Source organism: Homo sapiens, chromosome 18 (assembly GCF_000001405.40).
Source record: "Homo sapiens chromosome 18, GRCh38.p14 Primary Assembly".
Classification (NCBI taxonomy): domain Eukaryota; kingdom Metazoa; phylum Chordata; class Mammalia; order Primates; family Hominidae; genus Homo; species Homo sapiens.
Window position 1 is genome coordinate 42325322 of NC_000018.10, and position 21319 is coordinate 42346640.

The 21319-nt window shown below is 40.3% G+C and overlaps 1 long non-coding RNA gene across 5 annotated transcripts in view; it reads left to right on the forward strand.

The window, feature by feature from the left end:
• Positions 1-21319, forward strand: part of LINC00907 (long intergenic non-protein coding RNA 907) — a 504759-nt gene that overhangs the window by 138654 nt on the left and 344786 nt on the right. For 2 of the 5 annotated variants that reach the window (NR_046174.2, NR_046456.1), the window contains one exon: positions 9763-9982. The exons of 2 other annotated variants lie outside the window; for them this stretch is intronic. This is a non-coding gene — a long non-coding RNA (long intergenic non-protein coding RNA 907). Of the gene's footprint in view, positions 1-9762; positions 9983-11836; positions 11976-21319 lie in introns of those variants that run through there. One more of the 5 variants, NR_046458.1, reaches the window with a different exon arrangement.

Genomic DNA, 21319 nt, shown 5'->3' on the forward strand with positions numbered 1-21319 from the left:
ATCCACATAATAAAAACTTCGGTCGCTACAACCCCTTAGCTTAACGCAGGCACTCCTTTCTATTAATTCGAGGTCTTTATATAAACTCTTTCAACCAACTCCTAATCAGATTTTTTTTTTTTTTTTTTGAGACAGAGTCTTGCTCTGTCGCCCAGGCTGGAGTGTAGTGGAATGATCTCAGTTCACTGCAACCTTCACCCCTCTGGGTTAAAGCTATTCTTGTGCTTCAGCCTCCCAGAAAATTTTTGAATCCACCTATGACCTGGAACCCTCCCACTGACTCCTTGCCTGGCTTCAAGTTGTTCCTTTATTCTGGATGGAACCAATGTACATATTACATATACTGATTGATGTCATATGTCTCCCTAAAATATATAAAACCAAGCTATCACTTGAACACCCTGAGCACATGAACTCAGGACCTTCTATGACTGTGACAGGGGCATGTCCTAAACTTTGGCAAAATGAACTAAATTGATTGAGATCTGTCTTGGATACTTTTGGTTTACAGACCGCTTACATGACTCCATACATGCAATCATCAAATATGGCATAGTGGAGCATGAGGCGGGGCTACAGAACCCATTCAAATTTACTCAGGTTTCTTGGGTGTCCTGCGAATGGGCTCACATTTTCCCTCTGGATTTTTTCAAAGCACTAATGCTGTGAGAGTTCTTCATAGGACCATACGGTCCTCTTTGCAGAATGTAAGAGTAGACTAAAAATACTGATGCTAGATAAATGTTTCCACTTCTTATCTGAAAATATTGACATTATATGACCATAGTCAAAAGCAGGGCACCATTACTTGCTCTAAAATTTAATTTAGGAGACTGTAACCGCCCAATGGGTTTACCTTGCCCACTGCCTAGACAGAGCTGGTTTATCAAGACAGAGAAATTGCAATAGAGAGAGAGCTCATGCAGAGCTGCCTATATGAGAGATCAGAGTTATATTATTACTCAAATCAGTCTCCTTGAAAACTCTAGGATTGGGGGTTTTCAGGATAATTTGGCAGATAGGGGCCGATGAGTCGAGAGTACTGATTGGTCGAGTGGGATATAAAATCACAGGGAACCAAAGCTGTCCTCCTGCTCTGAGTGAATTCCTGGGTCGGGGGCATGAGACCAGATGAGCCAATTTATCAACCTGGGTGGTGCCAGCTGATCCATCAAGTGCAGGGTCTGCGAAATATCTCAAGCACTGATCTTAGGTTTTGTAATAGTGATGTTATTCCCACGAGCAATTTGGGGAAGGTCATAATCTCATAACCCCCAGCTGCATGACTCCTACACCATAATTTCTACTGTTGTGGCTAATTTGTTAGTCCTACAAAGGCAGTATAGTCCCCAGGCAAGAAGGAGGTTTGTTTTGGGAAAGGGTTGTTATTGTCTTTGTTTTAAACTATGAACTATAAACTAAGTTCCTCCCAAAGTTAGTTAGGCCTACACCCAGGAATGAGCAAGGACAGCTTGGAGGTGAGAAGAAAGATAGAGTTAGTTAGGTCAGATCTCTTTCAGTGTCATAATTTTCTCAGTTATAATTTTGCAATGGCAGTTTCAAGACTCCCATGCTACAAAGAATCCTGGCATTCTGCCTCCTCATAGCAAAGGAAGCAGGAAAATAGCTGTTGAAGTACATTTTTAGACTGAATGTGCCAATATTTTAGAGTTTCCGCAGAGGAAATTTTCTAGCAGTGACCTTTGATGTGACACCATGACTCTGACTCTAGCCCATTCTTTGACTGGAATGGACCCAAGGAATACCCTCCCTTTTTGCCTATTGAAGAGGCTAAGCAGGAGATGGGTGCTTTTCATGTTAGCCAGTCAAGAGATATTTATAGAGGTCTGCTTTGTGACCAATCCTGTGCTACATGGGGTTGCGGAGAATAGTCTCTGTCCCAGACTATTTTGCACAAAACAATTGGCAAACAGTTTAACATTTTGCTAGAATGGCTGATAGGTCAGAGTTGTTTTTTGCATCTCCGCCTGACATTCCCATTGCTACCACTCTGGTTTAGGTGTTGTATTTTCTTAAGTCCGTGGACATCATTTGCTGTTTTCTTTTACTTAAAAATATATATTGCTACAATTTTAGTCTTTATGTAACTTCTGTTCAAAAGCCTTCGAAGGCTACCCATTTGCCCAGAGTTTAAATCCAAATGTTTAATACTTTTTATTTAAGGTGTGAAGGGAAAATGTGGGGGCCCCAAAATTACTAAGCTAAAGGGAAAAGTCAAGCTGGGAACTGCTCAGGACAAACTTGCCTCCCATTTTCTTCAAAGTCATCCCTGAGATAGATGCATCTCTGATTGCCTCCTTGGAAGGACTTAGCAGAAACTCAAAGGAAGGCAACCACTTGTCTCTCACCTACCTGTGACCTGGAAGTCCCCTTCTTGCTTTGAGTTGTTCCCACCTTTCTGGATGGAACCAATGTACTTCTTACATATACTGATTGATGTCTCATTTCTCCCTAAAATGTATTAAACCAAGCTGAGCCCCGACCACCTTGGGCACATGTCATCAGGACTGCCTGAGGCTGTGTCATGGGTGTGCATCCTCAACCTTGGCAAAATAAACTCTAAATTAACTGAGACTGTCTCAGATGTTCAGGGTTCACAAAGGGTATACCTTACCTGATTCTCACCATGCTTTCTAGCCTTCACTACCTTTGTCCTCAAGTTTGCTCAGTCTACCTATTTTGTTTACTCACAGTTCTGCCAACATGCCACCAACTTCCCTCAGTAGCATTGCTCATTTTTGTGAAGAGTCCTCACGTCAAGGCTTGTCAAAACTATTGTCACCTCCAGGAAGTCTTTCTTGATTATTTACAACAGCAATTCTACCTCCTATTTCTAAATTCCTATGGCCTTTGGTTTGCAAGTCTCATGATACTTAACATCCTTTTTCCTTGGGTAGGTGTTACAGGCTCTGGAATGGGGTAAATACCCGAAGGGCAGAGATAAAGTGTTCTTTGTATCTTCTTTCTCATAGCAGAGATTGGTAAATAAATTTATTAATGATATAAAAATATAGAAATTCAGAGAAGAAGGCTATCAGTGTAAGCTGAGGTAATTAGCGGAGCAGTAAACATGAACATAAATTTTTCAGGATTCCCCACAGGGTCAGCCACCAGTCTCTGTAGGGCTTCTCTGAAGGCATCTGAAGTCTTTCCTAAGTATTTTTGGAGACAAGTGTAGCCAAAATACTACAGCCACCTAAACTCAGCAGTTGATATTACAGGATACTGCATGAGATCTATTTGCAATTTGTTTGAGGCCACAGCACAGCTGCATAACATTTTATGGGCCCATTTTATACAGTGGGGTTTCTCATTTTCAAATAGACCCATTAAAACTCTTATTAAGCTATTAAGTGTCTACAGGGTGATTTCGTGGCTGTAATTACAAATGCTCTCTTCATGGCAGACACTTAGGCAGAAGACCACTCACTCCCACCTTCACAGAGCACATTTTGCTTTTACCTTCTTCCCAAATGTAGCTGCCTGTTTCAATTTTGCCTTTTTCAGGGGGAAAAAATTTCAAAATGTTTACTATTTTTAAAGAAGAAAGTCAACTTGCTCAAAGGAAACTTGGAACTCATATGAACTCTTGAAACATTTCTCTTCTTTAGCACACCAGTTTCAGAGGGGTGACTGTGGACTTCCTTTGTACTCGAAGGCAGGCATTTTTCCAGAATATCACAATGCTACTACAACAGGTTCCTCTCTGTATTGACCCAATAGCAGGAGCAGAGGGCAAGTCAAGGACCATGGCAGTTTCCAGATGAGCCTCTGGATGCTGTCCATTCCAAGTCATGTGGGGACAGATTGCTAGTACATTTCAAGCCCACTCCTGCCTCAGAGACTTTGTACTTATTTGTCTTTCTACCTAGAGTACTCTTTGCCTAGTATCTGTGTAATATACTTCCTATTTTGTTCTCTTCTCTGAGGTGAAATGACTTTACAGCAAGGGCTTTACTGACTACCCAAAATAGATTAGCATTCTACTTCCTATCCCGTTGCTACTTCCAGAATTCCATACCAGATTCCATTTATTCTGCTTAATTTATCTTCACAGCACTTTCTACAATCTAACTTGATACATATTTACTTATTTACTTTTATACTGTCTTTCTCCATCCATTAGAAGTTAAGCTCCTGGAGGGCACGTTCTTTGTTTTAAATTGAAGTATTCCTAGGGTTTAGAACAATGCCTGACACGTTAGGCACTAAATAAATGTGCATTGAATTTTTAAAAATTATTCTTTAAAGCTCAAGAAAATAATTTAATTCTAGTGACCAAAAACATCTTAGAAATGATTGAGGGCAACCCTCTCCCTTTACAGAGGGAGAAACTGAAGACCATATTGGTGTAATGACCTGCAGGGTGACTTGGTGATCAGTTGTAAAGCTGGGACCCAGCTTAGCTTGTCTGATTTCCAGACCATGCCCTTCAAGCACAGGGCCATCTCAACTCCAAATGAGGTGATTTCTCACATTTTAAATGTTTCAGCAAGAAAAAGAAAGAAAAGAAAAAAGACTAGACTTCTTTTGAAAGAACAGAATCAAGTTGGGTCTCAGGGGATTTGGTCATTTGCCAGGGCAAGGAGCAAGTCCCACATGATTGAGAACCCAAAGATAAACCTTCTGTATCTACTCTGCGTATTTAACATATACATTGTCGTTGTTGTAACCAAAGCAATTGAGCAAGTAAGAAACATACTGAGAAATCAATATCCCTTGCCACTTAATAACAACATATCATTTTGTAAAGTAGCATGCCACAGCATGGTGGCAGCTGATGCCATTTGTTCTTCATGGTGACATTCTGTAAGGTATAAGAACTCATTATGCCTAGTTAGCAGATGTTCTCAGAGTTGCTTCAAACTGGTTAATAGAAGAGTTTGCCAAGAAACACCCTGTTTTGGAAAGATTATTGGGATCTACTCAAATAAAGACATTGTGATGTTTTACTGTAATTATCATGTGACTCATTTTCTTTGGCGCTGGCATCAAATTCACCCAGACCCCATCAGCCCTGACAATGCTGTGTCTCTGTGATGCTTGTGACCATGGGAATGCCTGCAGACATCTCCTCCTTCTTTGTGGTTCTGGGAGCCATTCTGTGCCTCTAAGGTCCTCTTTCTTTTTTCTCACCAATACACATATTTTCTGTCCTTCGCAATTCTATTAAACCTCACATTTGATGGTTGTTTTCTTAAAATTCCTTTACTTGGTTCCTGCATTCCTCATTCCTTCCCAGCACAATCCATAGTAATGGCATTCCTATTACATTCCTCTCCATGCTTAGTCATGAATGTTCTTTTGCCATATCAGCATCTACCGTACATTGAGAGGAAAGAAAGAGAAAAAAGTGTCCTTGTCTTCAAAGGAGTTTGGAAATTTCTTGAGAGGGAAGTCTAACCTCATGAATCAATGAAAGGGCAATTAATGGCAAATTGTGTAGCACTGACAAGATGCCATGCATAGGGGGGCCTGCAGTATAGTGGAGAAGAAAAAACATTTTGGCATCTAAATCTGAATTTAAACTTTTTTTCTCTTACTTACTAGCTGTACAACGTTGGACAAGTAACTTAATCCAAGATATTAATTTAAGAAAAAGCACAATTTCTACTTTACCTGATTGCTGTGGAGTCTAAGGAGGCAAAATATGGGATGTATGTGGCACAGTGCAAGGCCCAGAGATCTTTGCTGCTATTGTGCCTGTAGTTAAATCGCAGGTCCCCCCAAAACAGGAGCCCCCAAATTTTGTCCAATTCTTGTTACGATTGGATATGACATGGGGAATCTGATTAAAAAGAAAATGGCTGCTGATCAAGAAAAATTTAAAAGGCACTGGTGGAACAGGAATAATACAGGGTGGTTGCAGGAGAATAGAGAATTCCTGACTGGATTCAGTGGTTTGTGCCTGTAATCCCAGCACTTTGGGAGACTGAGGCAGGCAGTTCATTTGAGCTCAGGAATTTGAGACTAGCCTGGACAACAATGGAAAACTCCATCTCTACAAAGTACAAAACTTAGCCGGGTGTAGTGGCATGTACCTGTAGTCCCAGATACTCAGGATGCTGAGGTGGGAGGATGACTTAAGTCTGGGAGTTCAAGGCTGCATTGAGGTGTGGACCTACCTGGGTTAAGACTGACTGAACCCAACATGGCACTGGATTTGAGCTAGGTTTCACCTAGGATCTCATTAGATGTTCATTAACATACTAAATCACACACATACCAGCACCATGACAGTTCCAGGAACATCCATATTTGGTGTAAAAATGGGTGGCACCACAGTTCCAGGAAACCTCCACCTTCTTCAAGGAATTTTCATCAATATTCCACCCCTTGGTAAAAGAAACCCATAAAGGTAGCAGCTCCAAAGCCTCTTGGGCGTGACTCTCTCTTGAGTATGCCCACACTCCACTTTATTGAGTATGTACTTTTCCCTTCGCAATAAATCTCTATAGTTTCACTGTTTTTCAACTGGTCCTTGAATTCATTCTTGCAACGGTATCAAGAGCCTGGACAGCAGCTGGGGTTGAGGTCCCACTGGTGTTTGGGGACCTCCAAGTGATACCCAGGTAGTGATACCTGCCCACTGGTGTCACTGAGACATCTCATGTGCCTACCAAAGTTTTCTGCCATGTGACTTCTGAAAACACACCTTAGTTATTGACTCCTTTGATCTAAGCGCTTGCCTCTTTTTGAGGGTCTTCTCTTCAAATGTGCATGAATGAGAGACTCTTCTAATAACAATATAGTTGGATCTGTTCACAGCTTGAGGCTTGTTCCTGCAAAGTATTGGAAGAGGAAGATGGGAGTAGGAGGATTCAGAAAAGCAAGGAAAAGAAAGTCACCCCTGGTTAAAACAGTCCCTCTCTTCTTAATTCACAGTTTTGTTCAAAACTCTCCCAGCATATATGAATTTTTTGGAGAGCCACATGTCCTGCTTTATGCCTTTTTAGTAGGGTGAGCAAGAAAAGAAATACTTAAGTACATTTGGGGGTGTGAATGCTTTAATACAGGAACACTTATTGTTTAAAGTAATTTGTTTCCTTAGAAAAGGTTTAGTAGTTTTTCTGAGTTTCAGAAATGTCAGCCTTGCTCAAATGGAATCTGTAATTGAGACAAGACACAATCACTCCCAAATATTTACTGGGAGTTTGCCTCAGAAAATAACTGCCTAATATCACTGCAAGATGTGCAAACAATACAAAGCAAATTGGATTTCCTCCCGATGAAGGTGTGGATGTAATGCAGCATGAAGAATGATGGGGCTCAATCTAGTGTAAAACCAGCACCAGCAAAAGGGCCTGGTGATTTGTTACCAGGCAAAAATCCTGTCTATCCTGATGATTAAATTAAAATGAGGTCCTACATTGTCACTGTTGGTGAAATGACTTATCTGCCTGCTCCTATCATTCTCTGCACAGTGCTTGTATGTGGGATGGACATGGAATGAAGTGTTTGAAAAGAAAGACATGAGCACATTTTTCTCCCAGCATTGAAGTTTCATTGCGAATCTCTCAACAACGTGGAATGCTCCTGTTGGAACCAAAAGCCCGATTATCATCTCTAGAAAACTGGAATAAAAGAAGAGTTCAAATCACAAGGCCCTTCCAAACATCCCCTCTCTCCCTTGCTTGTGCTCTCTTCTTTCCAATTTTTTATCTTCATCAACACTTAATACTGGGGGCAAGAAGGTTCTTGGCTGGGCACACAATGCTATGGGAACTTAAAAACAAATGGACTAGCTGCAGGTTTAAATAATGCTACAGTCCTTAGACACTGTATATTATTCATAGCTCGTTGAACTCTATTATCTCATGTGTTCCTCTCAGTGGCTCTGTGAATTACCCAGGACAGGAAAGAAATGATAGAGTGTGAAGATAGAAGAGTCAGTAGAGGTCAGAACCCTTCCCCAGCCCCTCAGCTTTTTTTTTTTTTTTTTTTTTTTTTGAGATGAAGTCTGGCTATGTCACTCTGAAGTGTCGTGGTGCGATCTGGGCTCACTGCAACCTCCGCCCCCTGGGTTACAGCGATTCTCCTGCCTCAGCCTCCCGAGTAGCTGGGACTACAGGTGCACATCACTACGCCCAGCTAAATTTTGTATTTTTTAGTAAAGATGGGGTTTTACCATACTGGCCAGGCTGGTCTCAAACTCCTGAACTCGTGATCTGCCTGCCTCAGCCTCCTAAAGTGCTGGGATTACAGGTGTGAGCCACCATGCCCAGCCCCACTCTGCCCTTCTTATTGAGGAACCTGAGACAGAGAAGGAAAGTAACCTGCCAGAGTCACAGACGGGACCAGAAATCACATTGCCCAACCCTCAGCGCAGGTTTTTATAACTGAAAACTGATGAAAAGGCAAGCAAGAAAACAGGCAGACAACATATGTATGTAAATAAATTATGTTGATTCGTGGTTAATTAGGCAGGGAGAAAGGGGCCTTCAGAATCTCAGGCAAGGAAGATAAAAGAAGCTTTATATTTTGAAAAAATTAACAGGGGATGTTAATCCACACAGCCCTCCCACTCCCCTGCTGTAGAGGGGAAAAAATAGCATTTCATCCTTCTGCATTTTTAAATGTCTATCCCAAATTGTGGAAAGGAAAAAAATGCATAGGAAATGTGGGAGGAAGTGGGAGAAGGGCTTACTAAATGCCCAGTGACCAGGCATCCACAAAGTTACTGGGTAACTGAGGACTGACATGATGCTCTGAGAACTGTATTTGAGGTAGGTGAAGGCTTGGCTTTCTGGCTCTCCTAAGAGTTTTTCTGAGACTCTCTGATTTCTCCTGTCTATGATCACTTTTCAGTGCAGCTTCCAGGAACTCATGGGAGACAGCACATATTACATGGAAAACTATGAAGTTTGCAGTACAAAGAATTGGATTCTAATCTTACTGGACATTTACTAGCCCTATAATCTTGAGCAAGTTATGGTCCCATTTTGCCTCACTTTTGTCATCTGTAAATTTTGGAGGGTAATACCTTCCTCACTGGGTAGCTTTGAGGAATGCATGAGCTAGATCTGTGTAGTGGGTGTTGTATTTTCAGCTTGCCTAGAACTTTTAAACACCCTCACTATGCATGGGGAATGTGTCGCCTTAATAATCCCTTCTCTCATAGGAGCTAGGAATTCATATCCTAGTTTTCATGCAAGCAATAACACAAGCTTTATCAGTGATGTGCATTTTGTGGGCCATCAGTGGTTGTAAAATCCTGTTTCTGGTCTAGAATTGGTATCACTGCTAACAACATTTGTGGTTCCTGGTGGTTATTCTTATTATCCAACATACTGGTTGCCTGATTGACTTAATCTAGTGTCTTTTTTAAGGCTAAGTTAAGTTTTTCAGTCTTTTTGTTTCCTGAGTAAATGTATGTAAGTATATATGAGTGTGTTTGTGTATATATGTATGTTTTATTCTTGAGCCTAGGGCTCAGTCCATTTAGGTTTCTATCAAAAACAGTAGGAGATAAGGTGATTCTTTTGTTAGAATTTTTCCTAAAGGATCCTTGAGGGGCCTTGACTTAAACTGAGTGACTATGTGGACTTGCCAATTTAGGTTTACATATTACTGATCACTGAACATTAGATTTTGGTCTTCTTCCCCATCCTGGTTTTTGAGGTTTTAATTTTTCTTTTCTTTTCCTTTTTTTTTTTTTCTTGGATGATTACTTAGTTCCTGCATTCTAATTTGGATTCTTGAACCCATCATTTCACTCTCATTTCTTTTCATGTTTTACAGCTCCAGTGCCATGACAGTTTTAATCTTCTGGTTCCATCTGCATAGATTTCAGTCTCTAATTGAGGAAAATCATCTGTTTTTCTCAGGAGCCCCTTGATTCAAGTTTACACAAAATGTGCCTTTGGAGACTATCCTGTTAATTTAAACAGTTCAGATCCCACTTGTATGTGAGACAGATGCTTCTCTGGCCATCAGCCAGGTACCACTAAAGGAGGTACAGGTAACAGATCATTTAATTTTATTACATTTTCACATGTCAGAGACAGGAGGTATGAGATAATATTGCACAGCCCCTGCCTGCCTGCCTTCAAAGAGCCTGTGGTTTAAAGGAGTTACACGTAACTAAACTAATGTGGCTGTGACAAGTATGCACAGAGGAGGGGCATTTTGTTCAGCTTCAGTGTGTGGGGCTAGGGTGATGTCAGTAAAGGCTTTCTGGAGATAATTCCTGAAAGGAGGCTGAAAAAGTAAATCAGCACTTTCCCAGGGAAGATGGGAGGCAAAGATATGCCGGAGTGGTAGAGCTGGGGACACCACTGTGACTCAAGATGCAGAAGCATGAAGCAGACTGGCTGGCTAGGATACTACAAGCAGTACTAAGAGGTAAAGAAGAAGGAAGAGAGTGGCCATATGGGCTGAGCAGTTGTTGAGAAATATGAAACAGGGGTCTTCTTTCTGATCGTGGGCACTGATGCTTTGCTATGACACGAGGCAGACATGGATGAGGACAGGGTTAAGTGGAGGCAGGCATAGCTTACTTCTTGCCCTTGAACTAAGGGCCAGTGTGTTAGTCTGTTCTCACAAAGCTATAAAGATACTATCTGAGACTGGGTAATTTATAAACAAAAGAAGTTTAATTGACTCACAGTTCTGCATGGCTGGGGAGGCATCAGGAAACTTACATCATGATGGAAGGCAAAGGGGAGGCATGGCATGTCTTAGATGGCAGCAGGAGGGAGAAGGAGCACAGGGGAAGCTGCCACTTTTAAAACAATCAGATCTTGTGAGAACTTCCTTACTATCATGAGAACAGCATGGGGGATCCACCCCCATGATCGATTTACCTTTTACGAGGTCCCTCCCTTGACATAACAGGAATACAATTTGTGATGATATTTGGGTGGGGACACAGCCAAATCATGTCATTCTAACTCCAGCCCCTCCCAGATCTCATGTCCTCACATTTCAAAACCAATCATGCCTTCCCAAGAGTCCCTCAAACTCTTAACTCATTCCAGCATTATCTCAAAAGTCCAAGTCCAAAGTCTCATCTGAGATAAGGCAAGTGCCTTCTGCCTATGAGCCTGTAAAATAAAAAAAGCAAGTTAGTTACTTTCAAGACACAATGAGGGTACAGACATTAGGTAAATGTTCCCATTTCAAATGGGAGAAATTGGCCAAAACAAAGGGGCCACAGGCCTCATGCATGTCCTAAACCTGGCCAGGCAGTCATCAAATCTCAAAGCTCCAAAATCTCCTTTGACTCCGTGTCTCACATCAAGGACACACTGATGCAGGGGGTGGACTCCCACAGCCTTGGGCAGCTCTGCGCCTGTGGCTCTGCAGGGTACAGCCCCTACGGCTGTTTTCGCAGGCTTGTGTTAAGTGCCTATGGCTTTTCCAGGTACATGATGCAAGCTATCGGTAGATCTACCTTTCTGCAGGGCCCTCTTCTCACATCTCCACTAGGCAGTGCCTCAGCAGGGTCTCCGTGTGGGGACTCCAACCCCACATTTCCCTTTTGCGATGCCCTAGTAGAGGTTCTCCAGGGGGGCTCTGACCCCAAAGCAGACTTTTGCCTGGACATCCAGGCATTTCCATACACCCTCTGAAATCTAGGTGGAGGCTCCCAAAGCTCAACTCTTGTCTTCTGCATACCTGCAGGCCCAACACCACATAGAAGCCACCAAGGCCTGGGGCTTGCACCCACTGAAGCCATGGGCTAAGCTGTACCTTGGCTCCTTTTAGCCAGGGCTGAAGCTGGAGTGGCTGGAACATGAAGCTCCATGTCCAAAGGGTGCACAGAGCCATCTGGGCCCTAGGCCTTGCCCATTAAACCATTTTTCCTTCCTAGGCCTCTGGGCCAGTGATGGGAGGGGCTGCCTTGAAGATGTCTGAAATGCCCTGGAGACATCATCCCCATCATCTTGGTGATTAACATTCAGCTCCTCTTTACTTATGGAAATGTATTCAGCCACCTTGAGTTGCTCCCCAGACAATGAGTTTTTGTTTTCTATCACATGTTCAGGCTGTGGATTTTCCAAACTTTTATGCTCTGCCTCCCCTTTAAACATAAGTTCCAAATTCAAACCAACTCTTTGTGAGCAAATATAGTAGTATACATTCAGGAAAAGCCAGGTCACCTCTTGAATGCTTTGCTGCTTAGAAATTTCTTCTGCCAGACTCTCTCAAGTTCAAAGTCCCACAGATCTCTAGGGCAGGGGCAAAATGTCACCGGTCTCTTTGCTAAAGCCTAGCAAGAGTGACCTTTGCTCCAGTTCCCAGTAGGTTCCTCATCTCCATCTGAGGCCACCTCAGCCTGGACTTCATTGTCCATATCACTGTCAGCATTTTGATCAAAACCATGCCGCAATTCTCCAGGAAGTTCCAAACTTTTGCACATCTTCCTGTCTTGTTCTGAGCCCTCCAAACTCTGCCTGTTGCCTGTTCAAACCTCTGCCTGTTGCCCAGTTCCAAAGTTGCTTCCACATTTTCAGGTTATCCTTATAGCAATGCCTCTCTCTACCAGTACCAATTCTCTATATTAGTCCATTTTCACACTGCTATAATGAAGATACCTGAGCCTGGGTAATTTATAAACAAAAGAACTGACTCCCAGTTCCACATGGCTGGGGAGGCATCAGGAAGCTTACAATCATGGTGGAAGGCAAAGGGGAATCAAGGCACATCTTACAAGGCAGTAGGAGAGAGAGGGAGCACAGGGGAAATGGCCATTTTTAAAACAATCAGACCTCGTGAGAACTCCCTCAGTTTCACAAGAACATCATGGGGGAACCACTTCCATGATGTAATAACCTCTCACCAGGCTTCTCCCTTGACATGGGGGTATTAAAATTTGTGATGAAATTTGGGTGGGGACACAGAGCCAAACCATATTAGCCAGCCTCTTGGGAGGAACTTATTTCTTATTGCAGGTGCCTCTCCATTCCTAGCTTACTCAGCATGCCCTCCTTCCTCAAGCAGGTGTGACTTAGGTCATCTGCATCATGATTTCTCTCGTCACTAAGATGAGAAACCTCCAGAGATTACCCACACCAAGGCTGCAACCTGTTGATGTGACTACCTTTCTCTGCCATGGGTAGTTTATCTCCTCTATTCATTTACTCTGAGGATACAAATCTTTCTTGTCATCTTTGGGGTGGAGGGATAGGGTAATTCTACCTTTTACCATCAGCCACTTTCTGCCTAATCAATACTTCAATCTCCTCCCCAGAAAGAGTCATTGATTTTTTTTCCAGATTCTCCTCTGACTTGTTTGAGGGTCCCCTATCATGTTATATATCACATCCCATCTAGGGCACCCTCTACAATTCATGAAACATTCTAGACTTCTACATTTTAGTAGGGTCTAGGGAATCAAATTTAAACCTTGGATGTTTCAAGCCTACCAGGGTAAAACATTAACTTTACAATTAGAACCACGCTTTGACACTTGAATGAGTTCTCACTGCAGGAATGCCTTTGAAAAGAGATCTGGCTTATTATGATGGATAGATGGGGTGGAGCTTCTTAGCAAACTACTTGCTTTAGAAGTTAATGGAAGAACATCTATGTTCAGGAAATCACTGTTTGCTGGTAATTGAGGCAATCAGATGTTTCAAAGTAGGTGAACTGTGAACAAATGAACTCCTGAATGACAGCAGGGGATAGCGTGTGGCCTCAATATTTATACTGTGTAACCATGATCACCAAAGCACTCTCATCTATTTTAAAACAGAAGAAACTATCATCAGTGGATAAAACTGGATTTAAAAGCAAGCCACCAAAAGCTCATAATTTTTTGAACTGAGCATTTTTCAAGGATGATAACATAAATACAGTCAAGCTATTTCTATAGATTTTTTAACTTTGATACCTTTTTGGAAAACAGATCCCACAGAACAATCTTAGTAAAATGGATTATTTTTATAGGGGAAAATACCACCAAAAACCCTTAACCCTAGAATCTCCATTCTTGGCTTAATATTTATCAATTCTTTTTGATTATTTCTTTTATATTTTCCAGATTATTTAGATTTTAGAGCTAGAAAGATTATTTAGTAATGACATTTTAGTGGCATTTTAAATAATGGGTTCACAGTTCAGGTCAGTGTATTAGGTAACAGTTGTAAGTTGGAAGCAGGCAAAGGCAAACATCAGCGCTAACTCATGTGATAGCTGGGTTAAGAGAATCTTTGTGTATAAATAGCCTTTCTATGAAGTAGGTATAATAGCATGAGTCACCCTTTTTTTCTTTCTGGGACTCTGAATGATTTTATATAAATGTTAATGAGTCCCCAACAATTCAAGTTTTCTTTAAACTCCTTCGTAAGTATTCCTAACTTCAGACTCTCCTTTTTTCAACTATTTTGCATATTAATAGCAATTATCCCACACGGGGAGAGGAAACAGCATGCCAAGCCCTGCTTTAGAATCATTAGCTCATCGTAATATTAATCCTGAACACAACCACAGTTACTACGTCAACCTCATAAAAAAAAAAAAATGAGTCTCAGCGATGCTAAATAACTTGCTAAAGTTTGGACAGTGATTTTGAGGCTAAGTTAGGATTCTTTTCTTTTTTCTTTTTTTAAGGCAGTGTCTCACTCCATTGCTCAGGCTGAAGGGCAGTTGCTCAATCATGGCTCACTGCAGCCTCGAACCCCCAGGCTCAGGTGATTCTCCCAACTTAGCCTCCTGAGTAGCTTGGACTACAGGTGTGCACAACCAAGTCCAGCTAATTTTTGTATTCTTTGTAGAGATGGGGTTTTGCCATGTTGCCTAGGCTGTTCAACTTCTGGGCTCAAGTGATCAGCCTACCTTGGCCTGCCAAGTTGCTGGAATTACAGACGTGGGCAACTGCACCTGGTCCCTGAGTTGGGATTCAGAAATAAATTCTGATGAATACACTGCTGTTCTACAGTATTTTTCCTTCTGTTATGGTGAGTTTGCCTGATTTTTCTTAATTCATTTAGGGTGGTTCCCAATGATTGCCTTTAAAATCTACCTGTTTAATAGCCAGCCTTGTAATTTTGCCAGTGAGGAATGTTAAGCTCCCTGAAGGTAACTGGATATTGTTTTCATGTTTTCTGTCCTGGGCTTCTTATCCTTTAATAGATGTCCTGCACATTCTTGTAAAAGATTTTTTTTTTTTTTTTTTTTTTAGAAAAGAACAGCTGCAAAATAGGGTTGAGTCCTGCCTGTTCTCTGTAACCTGCCAATATTACCTGACTTTGAGTTGCTGCCAACATCTGTGACTGTAGCATTCCCAGTTCTCTCCCCACGCACATTACAGGGATTTCTCCATCATTGTCCTGTTGACATTTGACTTTGCAAATCTGTTCAAGTTCTCATTTAGGTTGAGCATGTAGAGTAAATATGTGTAGGGGCCAAAGGAAAAGCTTCCCTTTGTCCTCTAAAGGTTTGCTGAAAAATCAACTGATAAAGGGCAGATTAATAGGAGAAATGACGTACAAATTTTTTAGTATGCATGAGCGGAAATTGCACAGTCATTGCTCCATCTCCCAATAGGGTACAGATACTCATATACTTTACTTCTAAGGGGAAAGGGAGATGGGGAAGTGGGGATAATTTTAAGGGGTGGTAAATAATTTTTAGGAGAATTCAATGGGCTTGAAGAACATACATTGGCCTGGGACAAAATCTGTTGAGCCTGCAGAGCAGACAATGGCTTTTGACAAAAGTCCGTTGACAGTCTTTAGCCTTTCTTCCTGCAATATGAGTTCAATTACTGAAAACTCAGGGAAGGAATCAGAGATAATTGTTTTCTTCTTTGGCAGGTCCAGATGTTAGGCAGATAAGGGAACTTCAGATAACAATTTCATACTGTCCTTTGGGAGAGACAGGATTAAGAGATAGTGGGAGCTGTGGTCAGGGGTCGGGGAGTGGAGATGAGAGAGACCTTGAGGCTTCTTCTTCAGTTGAGCATGTCAACATGCCATTTTTGGGGGGTATTAGTTTCTGAACCCCAACACATGGAAGTAGCACAGTTGATAACTTGTGTCAGATTAATGTATTTAAAGACAATCCTAAATAGGGATTCCATTCTCTCCTTGGAGGAACCTTTCTTGAAATAAGACAAATTTATTTATCTTCTAAGCATATTTATGTTAGCAAGAGACTGAATGTAATATTCAGGGGAATATACTTAGTTTCATTATTTTTTCTTCCTGTATAAAACACAGGTTGGAAAGGACATTTGTCATAAGAGGACTTTTTCCCCCAAGTCATTGTCTGTGCATTAATCTTCGGAATGTGATGGACCATGTGAAACATTGTAATTTGTCTATGGGATAAAGTCCAATGGGAATCCAGAAAGCCATTCATGCAGAAACACTCTGGGAGGCCTGTGTAGGCCAACTTTGAATACATATTTAGTCCTTTCATCTTTGGCAACAGCCAACTACTCTTTTATGAAACCCTGCCTTGTTATTTTCAAAGAGTTTATTATTAAAATTGAGCTAAGCACAGTTCTGTATTCACCATCTGGTAGAAGGTGGATCGCTGCTGGTATGTTTACAAACTACCTTACTTACTCTTTATCACTGGCTTATACCTAGAAAATATATACATATATATATATATATATTTATTGTTTTTATGTAAACATACTGGGTGACAATATGGTATTCAGCTTGGTCAATATTTGGTGTAATGAATCAATAGAAGAAATATTTACATTTTTCCCAGTGGCTAATGTATAGGCATTTTTACAACTTCTGACTAAGTCAAACCAATTGATTGTCCTTGTATACACAACAGTATTTACGTGGTGTCTGGGTTCCAGGGACCTTTTCCTATCTACCCATATGGTGCCCAGATATCAGTTTGAATGAAAAGCCTAGCCAACATTAGGGCTCAGGAAAAAATACTGGAAAGTATTGTGCTTTGGCATGCTGAGCACTTTGAATTAAAATAAATGGGAAACGTTAGGGGCTGCCTCAGAACCAAAAACTTTCTGTCCTTCTCTTGTTTGTCCTCTCTCAAACTTGGGCAGGTATTCTGTCTGGAATTTCCTTATCTGACTGAGGAAACTTCTTTCTAAAAGAAGCGCCATTGTCCTAAACCTGGTTCCCTCAGAATCCCATTGCAAAAGCAGGAAAGATTAATCACAAAAGAAAAGAAGATACTAAAAATCCTCAACACACCCAGTCAGAGTTTTCATCCATTCTTCTAAGGGCATCTTCCAGAGATTACCTAAGAGACTTTATCTATATAATAAGGCAACATTTGTTCACAGGACACTTCCACCCCTCAACTTCCTGTAACTTGCCATTCCCATTCAGTTTCCAAAGGAACCATTTAAAAATTATTGTCTGTATTTTGGGCCCATTAAACTCTACTAAAAAATCATTGACTATCTGGGAAAATTGTCTACATACTCCCATCTCCCCCTCACCTATGAAGAGGGTGCATTTAAACCTCAGCTCTCTGGCCCTTCTTTGAGTCTCATAGTTTTTATGGTTCCTGGGCTCATGTACATTAATATATGTGTATGCCTTTTTTGCCTGTTAATGTTTCTATTGTCAGTTTCTTTCAACAGAGTTGAACTTTCAGAGGGAAAGGAAAATTTCTCTTCACTCCTATGAAAGGAAAATTTCTCTTCACTCCTATACCAATCAGCTATATATTTTGTTGATACAGTAAAAATAGTAAATAGTAAATAATAAACTTTCATATTTTCAGGAATTTGTTTAGGAAGAATATTTGAATAAACTGGATATTTTGCTTAATTAGCAATTATCACACTATAAATATTATATGCATCACACAGATGATTATTTTCCAGATAAATAGGGTACAATGGAATTAATGTATCACTAAAATTCTGTTAAAAATCATTGACAACCTGATTAAAAATTCGAAGACCTTTCAAAGCTTTAGGTTCACCATTCTAAATATATATTTAATTACCAAGAATCTTAGATAGAAGCAGGGATTATGTGGTGGTAGAATTTTATTTGCAAATTCTGGAATATATCCTGGAAGTTGCTTTGTTTCTCTAATAAATTCCACAGGTCAGGTTTGTGACTTGATTATAAGAGCCAAGTTATGCAAGAACAAAATCAAATCAGATATTTGAATTCTAGGTCAAGAGAGAGAATGATATGAGAATAATTTAGCTTTATTTTAAGATATAGATGATTTGGACTATAATCAGAGTTCCCACAATAGGATGTGAGGTGAGGTGTTTTTTTTGCTGGTCGTAAGTGCTTATGAAAGGTAATAAACCCTAAGCTTTTCAAGGACAGTCACCAAGATGTAAACAATTGTTGCTGTTTTATGTATTATCCATGAGGATAAATGAGATGCATTACAATAGGAAAAGCTACTGCCTTCGCCTTCCAGACTGCGTCTTACAAGACCATTCAATCAAAATTCTCAGGGAATAGCACCTCTTCCAATGTTCAACTTAAATATATGTCTGTGAAATGCATTTGAAAGCTTAATGTGTGTCTTTTGGAGTGACCATTCTTTGAAGTTTCATTGTCCATTTCATTTCCAGGAATGGTAATACTTCACTTTATCTTTATAAGCACTGCCCCATCCTTGATCTTATTTGGTTTGCATAACTATGTACTGTGGGGATAAAGTTATAATTCCTATGCACTAGTAAAACAAAAAAAAAAAAAAAAGAAAGAAAAAAGAAAATGTCTCTGAATCCAGTACAGGCAGGAAAGTTGTGTTTGGGAATCTACCAGGTAAGAAAGAGGCAGGTTAGCCAGCAAGAGAGAGAAATAATCACTTACGATTTCCTTAATGACTCACAAAAATGGCATTGGTCATTAAAATGCATTATACAGGTGTAGTTTTATTTAAGCCACATGTCAGTTTATCTTCTTTTTGTTATTTATTTTTCAACATTTTATTAACCAAGTATTACAGGCTAAGCATGGTTCTCATCACTGGAATAGCTACCGCCTGTGCTGCTGTTCCAACTAGAGGAGAACCATGATCAGTCACTCCAACCATGAGTACCAGCATAGAAACTCCTCTCCACCATTGTATCCAGATGCAGGGGTCCCTGTGGTTTGTAAGAATAAATAAGAATAAAAAATAAGAGGCTCAATTCTCCTCGTCAAATATAAGGGAGGAGACTTCTCTCTGCCTCCTTTTGTTAGGTGATTTACTATAGAAAACTTGTAAATTCTTTCTCTATCTCTTTAAAATGTATGTTTAGCTTCTTAGAAATTAAATAAGGCTCCTGCCAGCGTTATGACCCAGGAATGTCTTTTTCAAGAACCTGGGAGCCCTCTTTTTGAAATGGAAACATCAAGGGAGACAGTACCCTGTAGCCCGATTTCTGTGGGAGGGTAGGAGCCTAACTTCAGTGGGTGCCTGGCTCCAAGCTGCAAAACTACCTTCTGTCAAGAAGATATGGAAAGTTTATTTTTCTTTTGTATAAAACCAATTAACTAACACAGATGGTCACCCCAATTAACAGGTAAATTTAGGATAAACTATATGTAATAAATGGCACTGTCAAATCCTCTTACTGGAGGACTAATTATTGTCTATTTAGAGATTCTGTAGATAATGAGTTTTATCTGGTCGGCTTTATAAAAGGGTTAGATTTCTTTCTGTCTTTGCAATCTCTTAGTAGATTGCCTGTGATGTGTATCACATTCTGGTTTAATGCTTATTCAATAATAAAACTGTTTTCTTTACTATCTTTATGGAGAGGTTTTCTGGGTTGGGGGCAGATTTTGTTTTTAATTATATTTATCCAACAATCTTATATGCAACTTTAAGGCCTTGTGGGAAAACATCCTAATTAGGAGGTCAAATGAGGTAGAAAGAAACAATTCCAGGTCAGAGCAGGCATTGTTGTTACTCAGACTGAAGTGTGAGTCTTGGCTGACTGGTGGAGGCTCTGGGTAAAGGCACTAGTTACCACTTACATGAAAATGACAAAGCTATCCAGCAAGTTCTCCTTAGCGTGATCCCTTCCTTGGGCATTTAAAACATGTCCCTTATACATGCTCTCTCTTTAGTCTCCTTTTTCAAGCACTTCTCAGACTATTGAATCTGTTCCACAAAAACTCTTCAGGACTGGGTTCCAGACTTTTCTTGGCCTCTCCATTCAAGACTTTAGCACCTACTCTACCCTGTAGTTAAATTAACTTTTTCTTTCATTCCTCAATGCATTTCCTTCTTATTTCCACAATTGTTCTCAAATGATCTTTCAAAGAGAGTTAAGAGCCAAATACTTCTTCTGACATCTGTTGAGTTGATCATATGGTTTTTATTTTGTTGATGTGGTATAAATTAAAACAGAAGTCAAACCATTAGCAGCACAGGACTCATTTGAGGCTTTGATTTTCAAAAACCAAAGGACTTGACAAAGATACGGTGGTGGTACTGGTGATGTTGGGGACAATAGGGCGATTTCTCCGGTACAGGTAAATAATAAACAAAATTAAACATTAAAGTGTTATGTTTTTTAAAAAGTTGAATTTTCCAAGCCTTTTCCAAGTGCATTTAGATAATTGCTTTGCATTGCCTGAATCCACATGGGACTTTTTGGAACAGGATTTGTGTGCCTTGTAATTCACCCAGTCAAGACACATCTTCCCTTCTGTAACAGTGTTAAAAGAAAACCTTAGATAAATTAAAGGTAATAGAGTTTAATTGGGCAAAGAACAATTTGCATGAATCAAGGAGCCTCTCAAGCCAGTGTAAGCTCAGGGAGCCTCCAGTGCATCCATGTGGCAGAAGATTTATGGACAGAAAAGAGAAAGTGACATACAGAAAATGGAAGTGAAGTGCAGAAACAGCCAGATTGGTTACAGCTTGGCGTTTGCCTTATTTGAACACAATTTGAACAGTTGGCTACCTTTAATTGTCCAAAGCTTGGTGATTGGCACAAGAGTAAGTTAGTCTGCTTACACGTTTAGTTAGGTTTACTATGTACAGAGGAACCTTTAGGCTGAACTTAAAATATGAAATGAGGCAGCTTTAGGCTAAACTTGATTTTACAATAATTCAAGGCAATCTTCACAAATTTGGGCATTTCCTTACCTTGATGCTGTATTACATCTCAATAAAATTATACCTAAACATTCAAAAGCAATAAATTATGCAAGCAATATTTGTGCCATTTGGGTAAAGTATCATTTTATTATGTTTCTCAGTGTGACTTTTTATTACTTCATTTGTCTCCAATGCATTTCATACATAACAGACAAGGAGATTTTCTCTCTTAGTATCCACCTCCAAGCTACTTCATGGCTTCCAGATTTTGCTTTGGTGTTTTCCCAGACATAGAATGACACATTCTTCTCAATAACTTCCATATTAGGAGCTAGCACTGGAT